The following is a 17203-nucleotide window of genomic DNA, read 5'->3' as shown; positions in this document are numbered from 1 at the left end:
ACGGCTCTGCCGTGCCCAGCACCACGGGCTTTGGAGATGGGAACCTGCAGCGTGGCGGGCCTCAGACGTCGGGTGCCGCATTTACAGAGCTTGACTTAAGCCCCGCTGCCCCTCGAGGTGCAGGGCAATGCCTGGAGAAGGCCACCTGCCGGATAGAAGGGAGGAGGCTCATCCTGCAATTGTGAGGTCCGGCCTGGGTTTCCGCAGTGCCACTGGGCACACTCCCCAGCAGATGGGAAGCCAAAGACATGTTAACTTTTTTATTCTCACGACACAGAACTAACTTCTAGGAGTTTCTGGTGAAAAATCCCATGGTGAATCTTACTGGAGCTTCCCGTCCCTACCCAGCTGCCATGAACCTGCAACCTAGACCTGTGTGAGGGGCTCTGCTACCCCCTCACCTCCAACAAACCCTGAGGCACCTGCTGAGTGCTGCGTCCCTGCCACAGCCCGTGGGCCGCACCTGAACCTCACCTCAGGCCTTGCACTGAACCAGCCTGGCTGCCCCCACCACTTTCCACACCCAAAGGCATCAGGAAGTGCTTTCCCCAACCTCCCCACTGGAACCAGCGCCTCCTGAGCGTCACCACCATGGACTCGGGGACGAGCTGCGCCCCAGCCCCAGCCCCAGCCCAGCTCCTGAGGGTTCTTCCACCGACACCCCCTCCACACCTCGGCGCCCCTCAAGCTTCCATCCTCGCCCTTGTTCTCTGCAATTTCCCTGATCATCCTGTCCTTTGTCACAGCTCCAGCTGGGTGTCAGCTCCAGCCCAGACGTCACTTCCAACCACAGACACGATCACAGACATCACGCCAAGTCCCTTATGCAGCACGGGCTCAGCCACTGCTGGGACAGCTCACCCTGTCCTGAGGGTAAGCGGCATGGTCCCTGCCCAGCTCTCCCTCACCACGTCTCCCCCCTCCCACAGCACGCGAGAGCAGGCCTCTCGGCACAGCTGTGACGCCCGCCTCCCACCAGACACAATGAGGGCTCAGCAGCCTTCCGTGGCGCACACCCTCCTCCGCAGGAGGCCCCCCAGACTCCCCATCTGCCGCACCTCCCACCTGATGGGCAGAGGGGCAGAGCCTTGGGGAGATGCCCCCGGCCACCTGCCACGGAGCCTGGGCTCGCTCCATCCCTAGGTCCCCTGCTGCCACCCACTCTGTGGCTTCCTGCAGTCCGCAGGCTCCAGGCCCCATGGATGCGGCCACCCTTGGCCCAGCGTCCAGTCCTCTCCACGGCACGGCCAACATCTTGGAGAAAGCCTCCATCACTGCTCTTCCTACGCCACCACATCCTGTGCCTTCGGCCCCAGCTCAGAAATCCCCTTCACGAGGTGGGCACGGCCTCCATTACTAGGAGTACGTGGGGCTTCTCTGCCCTCCTTGGAGCCCACTAGGCCCCTAGACCTCTTTCCAAAGCTCCTGAGCTCTTGTCCCTTTGTCCCCCTCGTCGGCCCCATGCTCTCTGCTGGGGCCCCCACTGCCCGACCCCTCAGACAAGGCCTCCACTGCTGCACTCCGGGCCTAGTTTCCCACAACCTTCAGGTCCAACATGAGCTGAGCATCTTCCCCCAGCCCTGACCGGGGCCTGCCCAGTCCAGGCCTGGAAACACAAAGGGGCATCTGTGACTCCTCCACCTTCCAATCGGAGACGCACATCCTGGGAAGAAAACCTGCGGGGTGCCGAGCTCCTGCCGAGGGAGACAGCCAGGGCTGGGAGGGGGCCGGACAAGGCTCAGTCCCCAGGCGTCCATGCCAGGTGGGTCACGCTGGCGGCCCAGGCAACAGGAGGCAGAGGGCACTGGGCTCTGAGCCGCACCCGCACCGCCCGGCCTGAAGGAGGAGGTCCCACACCTGGGCTATGCGTCCCCCTGCCTGTGCCTCGGGGTGTGGACCCTGCCAGGAGCTGGTGGTCATCCGGTCTCAGGCTCGCAGGCCCAGGGACCCAGAGTCTGCCTCTCACTACACCCAGGTGATCTGTGCCGCGGAGGCCGCTCCACCCAGATGCCACGGGCTCGGTGCATCTGGGGACCAGGGCTCGGTGCACACTTCCTTACAGGATGGGGGTGTCTCACCGCCCTCACATTCCAGCCAAGGGCAGGACGTGGCTCAGTGAGTGTGAATGTCGTGGACGATGTCTTCACGGGGGACCAGAGCACCGCAGAACTCACAGCGGATGACACTCTCATCGCGTCTCCCAACACTGCCACCGCAGAGAGGCCCTGTCGCTGTGAGAGTTACAGGGACAAGTTCACTGTAGCTCCTGCATTCTCCTGCTCCCACAAGGAACAGGGTGGTACCCCATGGTGTGGAGACATCTTGGGGGTCCTTATGTACAGTGAGGGGATGTCTCAGGAGTTCTCAGGCACAGGAAGGGGACGTGTCGGGGTCCCCAGTGCGCAGGAAGGGGACATGTCAGGGTCTCCAGTGCACAGGAAGGGACGTCTTGGGGTCCCCAGTGCACAGGAAGGGACGTGTCGGGGTCCCCAGTGCACAGGAAGGGGACATGTCAGGGTCCCCAGTGCACAGGAAAGGGACGTGTCAGAGTCCCCAGTGCACAGGAAGGGGACGTATCAGGGTCCCCAGTGCACAGGAAGGGGATGTGTTGGGGTCCCCATCTCCAAGCCCCCACTGTGCTCATGTCCAGGGTCTTAAGACTTCAGCTTTGGGAGGGTGGTGGGGCGTGAATGGAGCGCTGGACACCCTGGCGTGTGCGGGATTCACGCACAGCCCCTGGCTGCCTCCCTCACACGGTGCTGTGGTGGATGTCAGTGGACTCGGAGGGAGGCTGGGATCTGTTATTTTAGCCCTGGGGTACTTGCACCCACACGGTGCACGCTCAGCTGACCGGCAGTGAGTGACACAGCCCTCCTCAGTGTTACAGGCTCTGTCCGTGCCCAAGGCGGGGGAAAGGGGAAGGCGGGGGAAAGGGGAAGGCGGCAGCCTGAGAGGCTCTCCTGCGCATGGTGGCCCTCCTGGCTGGCGCCGCTCAGCCCCAGGACAGTCAGGCATCGCCTGGATGTGTTCGCTGCCTCCCTTTCCTCTCCCTGACGCCCACCTGCCAATGCCCAGCCGCCGCCCATCCATCTCTGAAATAAATGCTCCCAAACTCCGTGGGGAGCCAAGTCAAAGCAGGGGTGGGGGCTGGCCCCAGCCAACTTCTGCCCCACGTTCCACAGCCCACCGTGGTTCCAGGTCGCCAGACAGGGGAAAGGGCAGGATGGAGCGGAAATCAGCAACAAGCTCCTTTCTCCCCCTCAAGCCAGCAGAATGCCCTTGCTCCTCTGAAGTGAACAAAAGCACTGGCTGTGACTTGTGAGAGTTTAGGCTGTTCCATCAGGCCGAGCAAACGTGCTGTTCCTGAATGGCATTCTTGGTCCACCTGGCCTGGGCCACGCCTGTGACAGCTCTGCACCCTCATCCCACCCAAAACACACCTCTTGTGATGCAAAGGACACCCACCTGCCCACAGACCGCGTGTGCCCGGGGAGCCTCATTAAACCCACCACTGCCGCTTCCCTCGCTTTGAGTCCACTCGTCTTTCCAATCGGAGCGGAAATTCGTAAGCCCAGGTTCCAGAACTGCAGGACAGGGCCGACCCAGAGATGAACAAAGAAAACTGGACCCACAGACCTGGAGTGGGATGCTCAGCAGTTATCTCTACCTTTTTAAGAAGTCTCCGAGCTGCACAGGTTTTTGCTGGTCAAGTGGTGAGAGAAATACCCCAGGGAGGCACCTGCCCGCAGAGAGGACACCTGCAGAGGGGACACAGCACCTGCCCCCATGCCCTGCGACCCCATTGTATCTCACCTGGCCTCGAGCGCCCTGCAGTTCCCCGGCGCCTCCTGGGCAGTGACCACAGCCGCCGCAGGGTTCCCCGGGATGCTCCCTTCTCGGCCATCGAACCGCCCTGTCACAAAGGCTGCTACAAAGCGGAGGCAGCTCTGGTTCTTCACGCAGGGACCACAGGCGACCCCCTGATGCTAGAGCCACAGCCTTCGGGTCTCTGCTGCGACAGCTAAAAGCCGGGCGGGTGCCGCATGGTCACAAGAGACAGGTGCTCAGGACCCTGGTGACTCTGGGCTTCGCCAACTCACAAGAAAGAACCCAAGAGGGCTGAGCCACCTCCTCAGAGTGCCCGGCCTCCCAGAGCCTGGCCCGAGCCACCACTGCCCTGCACGCCTGGAAGAGCAGGCAGACAATGCCGAGGTGCTAGAGAAACCCAGCCGCTGGGCCTGCCTGCTGTGTGCAAGTTCTGGGCCTTTCCTTCCTCGAACAGGGCGGGGGCTTGCGTGGGCTGGACCTCCTTGCCTTATGGAGCAAGCCAAAAACACCTTCCAGGCCTCAGGAAGTCTCAAGTTCAAACAAACAACTACAAACCCAGAGGAAGGGAGGGACGTGCTGCTGGCTGTCCTGAAACAAAGTGGGAAGTTCCACGCCTGTGGCTCCCGTCTGCTGCCGAGCTCCTCGAGGGAGGAAGTGATGAGGTTGCTTTGCGTGGCCGGAGATGCTTTTCCCCAAGAGGTGTTGAGCCCGTCCCAAGCCAGCAGCTCCCACCCTCTGCCCCATGGCTGCTTCCGAGGGGTGAGAGGTGACAGCATCCAGGGCTCCCAATGGCCCCCGAGGTGACGTGCCACCCTCAGGCTCTCAGAGTCCCTGGGCACCGTGCTGGGCACACACAGGGCTCCAGGCCTCACAGCTGATGTGCAAGGCCGTGCAAATGGCCTAGTGCCATTTTAACTCATTGTTATGTGCTCCAGGCCACAGGAAGAGAAGGTGGCAGGGCTGGCGCTCAGGCCTGCTTGTGAAAGCCCACATGCTGTCTGGAGCACCACATGTGCCCTTCTGTGAGCTGATGTGATTAGAACACGCATCTGGTTTGCAGCAAAAGAAGGCATTTATTCAACATTGTTTACTGAGTGCACACCCGTCCTGCCACCCTGCACAGGCGCTCCCAGAACGTATGGAGGGTCCCTGCCTACCATGTCCTCCCACTGGCATCGGGGACATCAAGAGGAAAAGGCTGCTTCCACAGCCTGAGAGGTGGCGCCTTGGTGTCCTATTAGCCTCCACAAATACAGTGATTCTGTTCAAAGTGTTCTGTGCTGGGTTTGCTCCTCTGAGAGCTACAGGTGTTGAGAGCCAGCTTCTGCCAGGAAAGACAGAGCTCCACATACCATCCCCCTCCTGCCTTCCACACCCACCTGCCAGACGCAACAAGGTGGTCCCAAGGCTGCCGTCCCCTGAAGCAGCTGGACGCTTGCTGTCTGTGCTGCATCCCCCAAAACAGCTACAGAGGAAAGCAGGGTGATGGGATCGATGTCTCAGCCACCCAGGAGCAGAGACCACGAACCCCGTTTTGTTGGGGGCTTGTGTGCAAGCCCAGGACAGGTCAGCCCTAACCTGACTCACATGAAAATGGGGAAACAGATGGCGCATTTCGCGTGGTGTTTCCAGAGCTCAGGCCTCTTTGGTTTTGTTTGTTTGTTTGTTTGGAGACAGAGTCTTGCTCTATCCCCCAGATTGGAATGCAGTGGCATGATCCCAGCTCACTGCAACCTCCACCTCCTGGGTTCAGGCAATTCTCCTGCCTCAGCCTCCCAAGTAGCTGGGATTACAGACCCCCGCCACCACACCCGGCTAATTTTTGTATTTTTAGTAGAGACCAGGTTTCACCATGTTGGCCAGGCTGGTCTCCAACTCCTGACCTAAGGTGAGCCTCCAAGGGCCTCTTTGAATAACCAGGAAATCAAGCCCTAAATGTTGGTTTCATCCACAAGGACAGACGCAGACAGGCTTTGTATTCACGGAAGCAGTGAGCGGTGCGCACGGGAGCCATCAGGGTCGCCTCTGGGGTCAACACCAAACCTCTCTCTCTGCCTTTCCTTCCCTTGTGCGTGGTAAGGTGCTGAGGAAGTCAAGGAAATCGGAACAGCAGGGCCACTTCCAGCTGCGCAGATTGGATGTGCACAGACGTTCATCATTCAATGTCCTAAACATCTAAATAGTTTTAAAGATGTTACTAATTAAAACCATTTTTCAAAAATTAATCCTGAGATATGAACCTCACTCACGATCTGCTGATTTCTTCTTATATGTAGCTCATACAAGCTTTGGCTTCAGCGACCATCGTGAAAACGCGGCCGTCCTCTCCTGGCTGGTGGGGGCCACTTCCTCCCTAAGCTCCGTGGTAGCCCCTCCATGAGAAAACACAAAAAACCCATGTGAGATCCAAGTTCTTCCTGTCACCCCGCTGGTTGGCTTCAGGGAGGCTCGAGAATGGTTGGGCCCCTGAGAAGTGGGTTGACTTTTGTGAACCCCGGGAGTCTATTTTATACAATGTGGCCCCAAGCTACTGTTAAGAAATCCATATCAGTAAGTGGTATCATTTTTGGCAGTAAAAGAGTCTTACATTAGCCACTCCATTAGTCGTGGAGTAGGGAGTTGTTTAGGGCCGGTCTTAAATGAGCTGTTGGGTGATTTAAAATTCAGCGCTCCTGGGCTGATGCGGGTGGGAGCCGCCGTGCACACCTGGGTTGTGGCACAGACGAAGGTGTCTCGTTTCCTCTCTCAGTAAAGCGTGGGGTGCAGGGAAGGACAGAGCGTGCTTGTGGAAACCGATGACTCCCCCATGCAGCCCCCACAGGGTAGTGACAGCAGCACTGGGAAGCCCCGCACTGTCCGACTGGGCGACCCCAACCCCTCTGCGCCAGCCCTGCTGGACCAGGTCCTTGTCTCCAGGTTTCCCGCTGCCCAGGAGGCCTGTGTGTCCGGTTTGGTGTGTGTCTCCTCACGGCTCTGTCGTCTTCCCGCCATGGTGTCTGAGAGGCCACTCACCGAGCAGCCCCTCCTCTCCTTCAGTCCCAGCCCGGGACCCGCCAGGGAAGGTCGTGGCTCCGGTCTGGTGGAGGCACCTTTGGTGAATGGCTGGGAAGGCCACACAGCTCTGCCTCAGAGGTGCAGGTGACCCAGTGCTGCTCCCCGCGTGAGCATCACACACTGCCGTCCGCCACAGCCTTGCCGCCCCATGAGCGACCTGAAGGCCGAGCCCAGAGCCGCGTGTGGTCCCCTGTGCAGCGTTTAACAGGTGCTCCAGCTGGAATGCTTCTCTTCATTGTCCATGACAAGTTTCGTTTTAAAAGATAAGGCATTCTTACAGAAACGAAGTCTTGTTTGGGGCATTAGCTCACCATCTCTAATATATTGCCAAAAATGTCATTAATGAAACTTAATACTAGTTCTTTCCTTTAGTGAATTAAGTAGCACAATTAAGTAATATGACTAATGCTGAGAAATTGGTTTTCATGCTTTGGGGATTTGTCTCATTTCTTTAACATTATTAATAAAGGAGTAAAGCAAACACACACACACACACACGCACACACACACACATACACACACACAAACAAGCAAACAAAAAAAAAAACCCGGAACATTCGCTGAGAGCCCAATTTAGAGGCAAATGCCAGGCAATCCCATAATTTAGAAGGAACAATCGGATCTGTTGTATTTTCAAACTCGCAACTGTAAGTTTTCTTGAGTGTCTCTTCCCAAAGGTTCAGTTTCTTCCCAGCACTGCGCATCTCCTGGGGTTTACACTGGACAAAGGCTCCTGGGGTGGAAGGAGGGAGGGAGGGAGGCCAGGAGCTTGCTATGGCAGAGGGGCCTGTGAGGTGCTGCGTGCTGAAGCCCGGGCTCGAGCTCTCTGCGACCGTGGGCATCTGGGAGAACAGTGACCACGGATGTCACCTCTATCACCGTGCGACCGCAACGAGGTCAACCACAGACCCTTCCTCTCAGAACCTTCCTTTTCCTTCTCATTTACCTGGAAAATCCCCACATACTTCATTACTGGGATCGTCAGTGCGGTCACACACCTAACTGTATGTGAGGATGACCACGGCAGCGGCTCCCTGAGGATGACCACGGCAGCGGCTCCCTGCTGTGCACAGGTGCTCATGGCGGGTACCCGCCGGCACTGACCATGTGCACAAGTGACCCTAACAGCAAACGGGTCCCCACAGCTTCCTGCCTGCTGGGTGCTTCTCAGTGCTTTTCATGCAGATTTAACTCATTTGATTGTCACATCAACCCTAGCAGGTAGGTGCTCTCCTGAGTCCATTCTGCAGATGGGGAAACCGAGGCACCACACAGCCACAGATGGCAGAGCTGGGGTTTGACCTCACAGGTCACGGGTCCAGCACCAGTGATTTTAACCTAATAGTCAATGCAACCCTTCATAGGGGCCCCGCTAACCTCACAAGGTGCAAACCTCATCCCACATCTTATCCACATATGACCACCAGACATTAGACATTCTAACTTCAGTACTTCGCTAGAATTCCAATGTAGGCAGCTCCATTTTTGTGTGTGTATCAGACAAGGGCAGTTAGCTTGTAAACATTCCAAAAGGCGTAACAGATGCTTCTTTCTCCACACCCAGAGTTATAAAATGAATGTGACCAGATACCTTCTGAGTTAATCCGAAGGGTAGAAGTGTGAAAATACTACTTACAGTGGTATCCTTCCAACTCTACGGATGGTGACGTGAGCTGACGTGGAAACGATAGTTCTGGTGAAAGAAGGGGCTATGTTGAGAGTGCTGCCTGCACGTCGTAGGCGGCGGAGGAAACGAAACACACGGAAAAGGCAGCCGAGCTTTCCATAATTAGGCTGCAGAACCAGCTTGGCTCCAGAAACTGTATTTGGTTAAATTATGAGTCAGTAGACCCTAGAGTCTGTTAAAATTATTCTCTACTCATGAAAATGTGTTTGTCAGACATAGCATGCCTTTCATGAGCAGCTGAAGCCTGGAGAACTTCTGATTGTGATGCTTATGCCTTGTTTTTTATTATGGCGAAAGCAGGTCTCCCGAGCCAGCTTCTCTCATATTTACTAGTCCCTAAAGTTCTAATTCTGGAGTTCATCCTCCAGTATCTCTCATATTTACTAGTCCCTGAAGGTCTAATTCTGGAGTGCACCCTCTGGTATTCAGCTGGTATTGATGATCAACAAATGTGATTTTCCCCAGAACGTCTGCAAAATGAGTGGAACCCCTAAAATCCATGCACTTTCCACACCCAAGGGGCCAGGCTTATGAAAAGCAGCAGAACAGCAGCATGCCAGGGGTGCAAAAGTCCAAGCAAACTCATCCAATGAGGTTGGCCACGCCGGGGGCTTCATGGACTCAGAGGCTGGCCATGCCAGGGGCTTTGCAGACTCAGAGGTTGGCCACGCCGGGGGCCCTTGCAGACCTGGAAGTCAGCCACGCAAGGGGCTTTGCAGACTCAGAGGTTAGCCATGCCCGGGTGCCTTTGCGGAACTGGTGCCCCTAGTTCTGAGGGGGAGTTTGCACCACTATAGAAGGTGGTCTTACCCTTAGGGAAGCCAAATGCAGGGAACTCCAAACGTAAGACTAAAGGAGGAGGAAGCCAGCAGGTGATGTGGAGCGGCAGGTGATGAAATGCCAGATAAGGAAGTGCCGGGCAATGAGGCACCAGGTGAGGAAGCGCCAGGATGGGAGCTGATGAAACAGTGGGGGATGGGGTCAGAGGGGGCAGTGGAAGAGTCAGGAGCGGCTTTGAAGACGGAGATCAGGAAGACGCTGGAAGGCGGCCACCATCCCAAGGCACAGGTGCAGCGTGAAAAGGGGCCAGTGACTCAGGAGGCGGTGGCCAACACAAGTCCCCATGAAACTCGGAACACACCTCGCAGGCATCCCCTTCTCAGGTGCTGCCTGGCATCACTCACTCCTGAGACCTTGCCTGTGGTCACTCAGCGCCAGCCCCTGGAGCCACGGGTCTCCCTGAAGGGCGCTCCAAGCAAACACAGGGCCGGCCCCCCAGTGTCCTCAGAGCAGGCCGGAACTGAAACCCCCGGGAGCTCATAAGTCTGCCCCTGGTTCCACAGGTGAAGCCGTGCTCGCGCCGTCTTCGCATGGAGGGCGTCAGACTCACCCAGCTGGGAGGCCTGAGCGCTGCGTTCTCAGGAGCTCTTGGGAAGCACTGAGCCGTGGCGTCAGATCACAGAAGGTCAGCAACACAGGACACCAAGGATGCTCAGAGGACTCACGGTTTCCTCACAAGCCTCCCTCCGCTCAAATCTCTAAAACCTGCTCCGGAATCCCTACTAACAAGATCCATAACAACATCCCATGAAAGCTAATTGTTTTTTAAATGTTTCTGTACTTTATAGTCACACCTATCTAATTAGAGACCTAAATTTCATGTTACAAAATAGTCAGCAACCCACACAGACGTACCTCATTTGGCTGCGTGGTTTTTCTCCTAAAGGGCCTCAGCACATTTAAAAAATGGACAAAGAAATCATGGCTCCTTGAGGAGACGCCAATCACTGAGGCCGAAGGCAGAGGCGTGAGAGGGGAGTGCTAAGGCGTCCGTCAGAAACCGCTGGGCTGGCTAATAAGCAGGTGGCATTTTGCCAGGGAGCCGCACCTACTCCACTGAGAGCTCTTCAATTCCACACAGAAATGCGTGCCCCTGCCTCCTGGGCGCGTCCCCCCAGAGCTTTTCCTCTGAGACCTGCAACTGGGGGGTGCCGAACAGCTGTGCCTGTGTGGTGGTCCTGGGAAGCCCCCTCATCCCCCAAAGCCCCTCCGTGCTGCTGTGTCCCTCAGCCCATTGCTCAGGCCACAGGCCCTTCCCAGGAAGAGCTTAAGGACAGGAGGCAGCACACAGCTTTTGCTCATCCATCCATCCATCCATTCATCCATCCATCCACCTTCCATCCATCCATCCACTCCTCCACTCCATGCATCCACTCATCTATGCATCCATCCCTCCCTCCCTCCATCCATCCACCCACCCATTCATCTATCCAGTCATCCAGTCATCCATCCATCCATACACCCATCCACCTACCCCTCCATCTACCTTACATACATATATCCACTCATCCATCTATCTACCAACTCATTCATCCATCCATCCATCCACTCATCCGTCCAAGCATCCACTCATCCATCCATCTACCCATTCATCATCCTCCATTTATCTATTTATCCATCCATCCACCCACACATCCATCCATCCACTCACACATCCATCCATCCATCATCATCCATCCATCCATCCACCCACACACCCACTCATCCACCCTTACATTCATCCACCCACCCATCCATCCACCCACTTATCCACTATCTACTAACTCATTTATCCATCCATCCATCCATCCATCCATCCATCCACCCACTTACACATCCATCCATCCATCATCATCCATCCATCCATCCATCCACCCACCCACACATCCATTCATCCACCCCTACATTCATCCACCCACCCATCCATCCACCCACCCACCCATCTACCCATTCATCCATCCATCCACTCATTTATCCATGCATTATCCATCTATCATCATCTGTCTATGACAAGAGTTAGTATTAGGTCAACTAATGGAAAAGGTGGGGCTAGATTTAAAGATTCTTCTACCACAGTAGTTCCCCAAGTTTGATTCCTGAAGAACTTCATCAAGAACTTAAGAAATGTCAATTATCAGACCCTACCCCAGACTTCCTGAATCAGAAACTCTGAGGGTGGGCCCAGCAGCCTGTGCTTTAACAAGCCCCCAAGGTGACGCATGTACATGCTGTAGTTGGAGGACCACTGTTCTGTTTCATCGAATGCTTAAATCAACTAGATCCATAGCATTGCTCCCTCGAATGTCTTCTACCTTTTCACCAATGACTAAAATTCCAAAGAGAAAACCAAAACAGACGAAAATGAGCCCTATCACATAGAAGGGGGGCCAGGGGGAAGTTGCCACTGGAAAGTGCCCCTGGCCTTGTTACTGAAGATCAGGTTCAGAAAAGTATATAAAATGTCAATTCTCAAGGTCAAAGGCTACAGATTCACAGACCATATGGACAGCACACATTATCCTCCTTTACATGCAGATTAGCCTAGCTAATGAAGGTTCTAGGTGACAGAAGAAATGCATAAATCTGAAATTAAAACACAGCAGCATGTCCTGGACAGCAGCAAAGATAAAATGCCTGTGGGTTGGGGGTGAATCTACAGAGGGTGAAGCTCTGCACAGCTGAATGAGGCAGCTGCTCTAAGGCCAGCCGCTGTACGCAATCCCTCAGCTGTGACCTAGCCCCGCCACTGCCCTGAGGACCTACACCAGCCGCCACATCAGTGTCCTGTTGCCATCAGCTTTTACCTGGCACGGATCCTAGCATGACCCCAGAAGGAGAAGCAGCTCCATGACCTCCCGCTGAAGAGTGTTTGGCTGCAGGTGGGGAACTCTCCTGAGGAAGTGCTTGGAATTTAAACCCGAGGTGGGGATCAGGTTTACCTTGACCTTCACCCCTACCAGAGAATGTGCACCACATACCCGTACACTCTGTGGTAGCATCATGTCAATACTGCATCATAAACCCCCTCATGATGGTTTTACAGCCTTCAACCTAATAACTTGCCTCCGCTGAGCAGTACCTCACACAGCGTGAGCAGAAAATGGGTTTGTGCTGAAGGAAGAGGCCAGTGTTAATGGGTGGTAAGTGGAGTATGATGCAGGGTCACCTCCCCTAACTAAACGCTACAGGGTGCTCATAACCGAGGATATCTGGTAAGCTGGACTTGAAAGTCCTGGTGAAGCATGCAATTATCGGTAATGCAGATGTGTGGGAGGACGCACATCTCACTGCCTGTTCCAGATGAGACGATGGCCCACACCGAGCGCCCGGCTCGCACGACATTCAGTGAGCAGACAGTGTCACTGCTGCTCTTCTGAGATAGCCTTTTTCCAATTAAAAATGCGCACATGTCTCTTGGAGCTCATGAAGAAACCCCAATCCCTAAAAACCTGGGGAATGACATCAGCCTCTGGAGCGGTTCCCACTCTGTGACTCTGACACCGAACGGCACGCAGAGGCATGCAGAGCAAGGGGGGCTTTCTCCTCCACCCCCACAGCCGATCGGAAGCCTCCCTGTGAACCTGGCATCCACGCAGCCCTTCACCATACTCAAACCCTGCAAACCCTGCACGGAAAAGCTCCACTCAAGCTTCAGAAAAAGAGCTGATTCTCTAAGAATCAGGGAGCAGACGGCATGAAAATGGTTTTGTTTTCTTTCGACCCACATACAATAAACCCAGCAGCTTTGATCATAAAAGCCCCCATTAAAAACATCTTGATTAGACCATCCCATACGATGGTGCTTATGCTGATTTAATCACTGGTTCACTCTCAGAATCCATCGGGGTGGGCAGAGAAAGAGAACCACACCCAAACCAAGCAACTGACATTTTAATCTCCCAGGCAAGTACTAGTTAGACAACTAGTAATGGCATATATGACATAACATATGGCAACATCAGGCAAAACACTTGGCAACTTACTTTTAATGATATATCATTATTTCCTCTTCATTTCAAGGAAAACGAGTTAAGGATGCCTCTCCCTTCTGCATAACACAGCCTGAGAACTCAGATGCGACCGCCTGAAAGCCACGGCCAGATGCAAGCTGTCAGCCCAGTCTCTGCTTACACCTAAAAGAATCGATCTGAACTACTCTTCAAAGCTTATTTGAAGTAATATTTCGATTAATACTGAAAATGAACGTCCAGTCCACTCTTTACCCATACCGTCTCAAACATCTGTCTTAGGTTTAAATTGCATTTAATGAAGAAAAGAACCACCTGATTAGTCCAGGTTTTTTCATCCTCAAAACGAGCTTCCAGGTAGCTTCACCATCCCTACCCCTGGCTCTGAAACCCCAAGCTCTGAAAGCCCTTGGCTCAGATCATTCTCCATTCGCAATGCATTCTCCATTGCGAGGGCTGCGGACAGGCAGGTTGATGGGCAGACTTCAGACACACAAATGGCTCCGCATGCAGACCCAGCAACCCTGAGAGAGCCAGTGTCACCAACGTGCAGTCATTTTGACTATCCCGGGCAGCATACGATCGCCGACAGCCTCTGAAAACACACCAGCTGCCAACCAGTGCCCCCCATGTCACAGCTACCACGGCTAGAAAGGAACACGAGGGCGGCTTACAAAAATCAGACGCATTTCCCCACATTTCAGCCCATGATGTCAAGCTTAAGCACAGATCACTGACGGCCAGCAGCTCCTCCTACCCGTGTGCTTGGAAACCGCATTTAATCTCTGCACCATTTCTTCCAAGGCCATCTCTTCAGTCCTCAGCCAAAACCTCATCCTCCGACACAACAAAAATGATCCTGGCAGATCCGCTTCCTCCGCACGGGGGGCGCCTGCGGGTGGGGCCGTGCGAGTGCGGAGGGGGCGCGGCGGAGGCGGGGAGGGGGCCACGGCAGCGCTTTCAGCCTCCAGCCGCCGCCTCCCTGCCCAGGATTGGTTCCGCGCCACCGGGAGGGGGGCGCGCGCTGCGCCGCGGGGGGCGGGGGGCGGCTCGGCGGAAGCGGAAGCGGCGCGCGCCCGCCCCGGTGTGTCACCACCGCGGGTCACCTGGGAGTCCTGTGAGTGCACCGCCGGGGTCACCTGGGAGCCCCGCGTGTCACCGCCGCGGTCGTCGGGGAGCCCCGGGGCTCACCAACGAGGTCACCTGGGAGCCCCGCGGGTCACCGCCGCGGTCACCTGGAAGTGTCACCTGTGTCACTAGGTCACCTAGTGTATCACACAGGTCACCTAGAAATTCGTGTCACCGCCAAGGTCACCTAGAAATTCGTGTCACCGCCGAGGTCCCCTGGGAGCCCCGCGGGTGCCGCACAAGTGCCCCCGCCCTTCCCCCCGGTTCCGGGTCTCCACGCCCTCCTGGTTTGCGGGCAGCCGCGAAGCCGCGAGTGGACCGAGCGAGTGCAGCTGCCTCCGCGGGGCCGCGCCTGGCCGCCGCCTCCCTTTACCTCCGGCCGCCCCGTGGCAGGTGTAGAAGCTGCAGAGGCCGCAGCAGCCCAGCGCGCCCCTTCCGTGTGGCCGCATGCCACCCGCGCCGCGCCCAGGTAAGCAGGTCCGTGGGTCGCTGGGTCCATGCGTGGGTCCGTGGCTGGCCGGGGATGGACCAGCCCCTCCCCGCAGGGGCATCGCCTGCCCAAGGACGCAGGACCCAGTGAGGGAAGCGCGCGCTGCAGGCACGGGGCTCTCCACCCTCGCCATGGTTGGCACCAAGCCACACTGTGCACTCGACACACGCAGCGTCCTGGCTGCCACCTGCAGATTCCAGCTCGTGTCTATGCAGGGCCATGGCCGCCATCACAGGGCCATATGCAAGAAACTCTCTGAGCTCTCCTCGCCCAAAACCGCAGCTATCCTTTTGTGGTTTGGTATTATAGGTAACATGCCCTTCCTTAAAGAAACAGTATTTCAGGCCTGTAGTCCCAGCTACTCCGGAGGCCGAGGCAGAAGCTGAGGCAGAAGCAGGAGGATCATTTGAGCCCAGAAGTTTGAGCCTGGGCAATGTAGCAAGACCCCCCCCCCCACCTCACTCCCCAATCAGTTAAAAGAGAGAGAGAGAGAGAGAGAATTCCAGCAGGAAGAAGTACACATTTCCACGAATGGTTTGGGAATTCAAGCATCATATGGCTGAGGTTTGAACTACAGCTCATGCCAATAACATGTGCACATGCGCCAGCATTCCAGCGTCCAACAGAGCATGCGTGCACCATTCCAGCATCCGGCAACAATGCACCAGCATTCCAGCGTCCAACAGAGCATCCGTGTACCATTCCGGCATTTGGCAACAATGCACCAGCATTCCAGAGTCCAACAGGGCATGCGTGCACCATTCCAGCATCCGGCAACAATGCACCAGCATTCCAGCGTCCAACAGAGCGTGCGTGCACCATTCCAGCATCCGGCAACAATGCACCAGCATTCCAGCGTCCAAAAGAGCATCCGGCAACATCCCGGTGTCCAGTGGCACATGTGCACCTGGACGTTCCAGTGTGGTGAGCTTTCAGGCACGGAGCAAGGCCAAAGGGATAAAAAGATGAAGGTGACGCAGTACTCCCCCTTATAGTGCCTACAGGCCTTATAGGCCAGACAGATCTGGAAATAAATAATTCATAATAAAAAATAATTACAGAATAAGAGGCATAATAACCAGATAGAAAGTATTGAATAAATCTGTAAGAAATGGCTGCTTTGTTTTTGTTTTTGTTTAACATGAGAAACGTATTGAGTATCAGCAGTTTCACTTGGTTCTACAGAATCTCTTTGGAGACCAGTGAAAGGAGAACTCTGGAAAGGCCTCAGAGTGGATGGGAGCCTCTCCCTCTGTGGACAAGCGTTCCCTGGGCTGCCCAGGGTGCCTACGGCGGCACAATTGCTACCTCCTGTCTACACATGGTCTGCAAAAAGTGCCCTCAAATGGGTCTGCTCCTCTCATTCCCTGTCAGTTCAGGGAACCTTCACCACTCCCCATCCCCCACCGCCCCCCCACCCCAACCCTGCCCCTCCAGCTTCAGGGAAAGCCTGTCATCAGGCAGAAGGGTCCTGAAATGCAGGCCCTGCCCTTTCCACTAGTCTAAGGCACAACACCCTCCCTGGTCCTCAGCCCACACGGCCCTAGGCCACACTCCCTCTGAGCACCTGCCCTCTTCTCCCGGCCGCTCTCCTGGCATGCAGGTGCCCTCCAGCCTGCCCAGCCTTGGGCTGCGTCAGGATCTACCGAGGACTTGTTAAGCTCACACAGCTGGGCTCTGATGGCTCCTTGCTGATCCAGGAGGTCTGGGATGGGGCCCGAGGATGTGCATTTCTAGCAAAATTTCCTGGGATGTTGAATGTGCTGGTCCACACTTTGAGAAACACTGCTGAAATCTGTTGCATCTTAAAAGCAAGATGAAAGGAAAGGGCCACACCCTCTGGCCTGTCCCGCTTCTCCGATCTCCCTCTTCACCCCTTGGGCATCTCCACACATGCTATTGGCTTCTTTCCTCAACCCTGTGCCATCCACTCTGTCCCCTGGCCAATATCCTCTGGCTGGCACCATGTCATGTTGGGGCACCAGGGTGGAGACCCTTGGTCTCTGTGGTCATTGGCTTTATTACTTGTCAACTTGGCTGGGCCACCGTGCCCAGATATTGGGTCAAATGCTAGGTTAGATGTCTCTGTGAAGGTATGTTTAGATGAGATTGACACTTATATCAGTAGACTTTGAGTAAGGTGTGTGACATAACGTGGGTGGGCCTCACCCAATCTATCAAGGGGCTTGAGAGAAAAAGACAGAGGTTCCCTGAGGAAGAGGGAGCTCT

General features: G+C 55.6%; 1 protein-coding gene and 1 long non-coding RNA gene across 19 annotated transcripts in view, besides 4 other annotated features; one reads left to right on the top strand and one right to left on the bottom strand.

Annotated features, from left to right (window-relative positions):
• The window catches only part of MCF2L (MCF.2 cell line derived transforming sequence like), a 205408-nt gene that overhangs the window by 116171 nt on the left and 72034 nt on the right, over nt 1-17203 (bottom strand). For 4 of the 18 annotated variants that reach the window (NM_001438390.1, NM_001438759.1, NM_001438762.1 and 1 more), the window contains exon 1: nt 14858-15102. The exons of 6 other annotated variants lie outside the window; for them this stretch is intronic. In NM_001438390.1, coding sequence (NP_001425319.1) covers nt 14858-15035 — 178 coding nt within the window. In that variant the 5' untranslated portion in view covers nt 15036-15102. 8 more of the 18 variants (NM_001437889.1, NM_001438763.1, NM_001112732.3 and 5 more) reach the window with 4 other exon arrangements.
• Nucleotides 1326-2261: an enhancer, noted in NCBI's record as "H3K4me1 hESC enhancer chr13:113635625-113636560 (GRCh37/hg19 assembly coordinates)". NCBI's record gives its function as "activates a minimal SCP1, AML or CMV promoter by ChIP-STARR-seq in primed H9 embryonic stem cells {active_cell/tissue: H9 hESC(primed)}" and the evidence as "EXISTENCE:reporter gene assay evidence [ECO:0000049][PMID:30033119]".
• Nucleotides 4136-5073: an enhancer, noted in NCBI's record as "H3K4me1 hESC enhancer chr13:113632813-113633750 (GRCh37/hg19 assembly coordinates)". NCBI's record gives its function as "activates a minimal SCP1, AML or CMV promoter by ChIP-STARR-seq in naive H9 embryonic stem cells {active_cell/tissue: H9 hESC(naive)}" and the evidence as "EXISTENCE:reporter gene assay evidence [ECO:0000049][PMID:30033119]".
• Nucleotides 14423-14482: a silencer, noted in NCBI's record as "silent region_5537". NCBI's record gives its function as "represses an Ori minimal core promoter by ATAC-STARR-seq in GM12878 lymphoblastoid cells {active_cell/tissue: GM12878}" and the evidence as "EXISTENCE:reporter gene assay evidence [ECO:0000049][PMID:35858748]".
• Nucleotides 14684-15203: an enhancer, noted in NCBI's record as "H3K27ac-H3K4me1 hESC enhancer chr13:113622683-113623202 (GRCh37/hg19 assembly coordinates)". NCBI's record gives its function as "activates a minimal SCP1, AML or CMV promoter by ChIP-STARR-seq in primed H9 embryonic stem cells {active_cell/tissue: H9 hESC(primed)}" and the evidence as "EXISTENCE:reporter gene assay evidence [ECO:0000049][PMID:30033119]".
• MCF2L-AS1 (MCF2L antisense RNA 1) lies at nt 14934-16088 on the top strand. The gene has a single exon (NR_034002.1). It is a non-coding gene; the product is annotated as an MCF2L antisense RNA 1 (long non-coding RNA).

The sequence above is a fragment of the Homo sapiens genome, chromosome 13, assembly GCF_000001405.40.
Source record: "Homo sapiens chromosome 13, GRCh38.p14 Primary Assembly".
Classification (NCBI taxonomy): Eukaryota; Metazoa; Chordata; class Mammalia; order Primates; family Hominidae; genus Homo; species Homo sapiens.
Note: the sequence above shows the minus strand (reverse complement) of the source record. Positions and strands in the feature narration are given on the sequence as shown.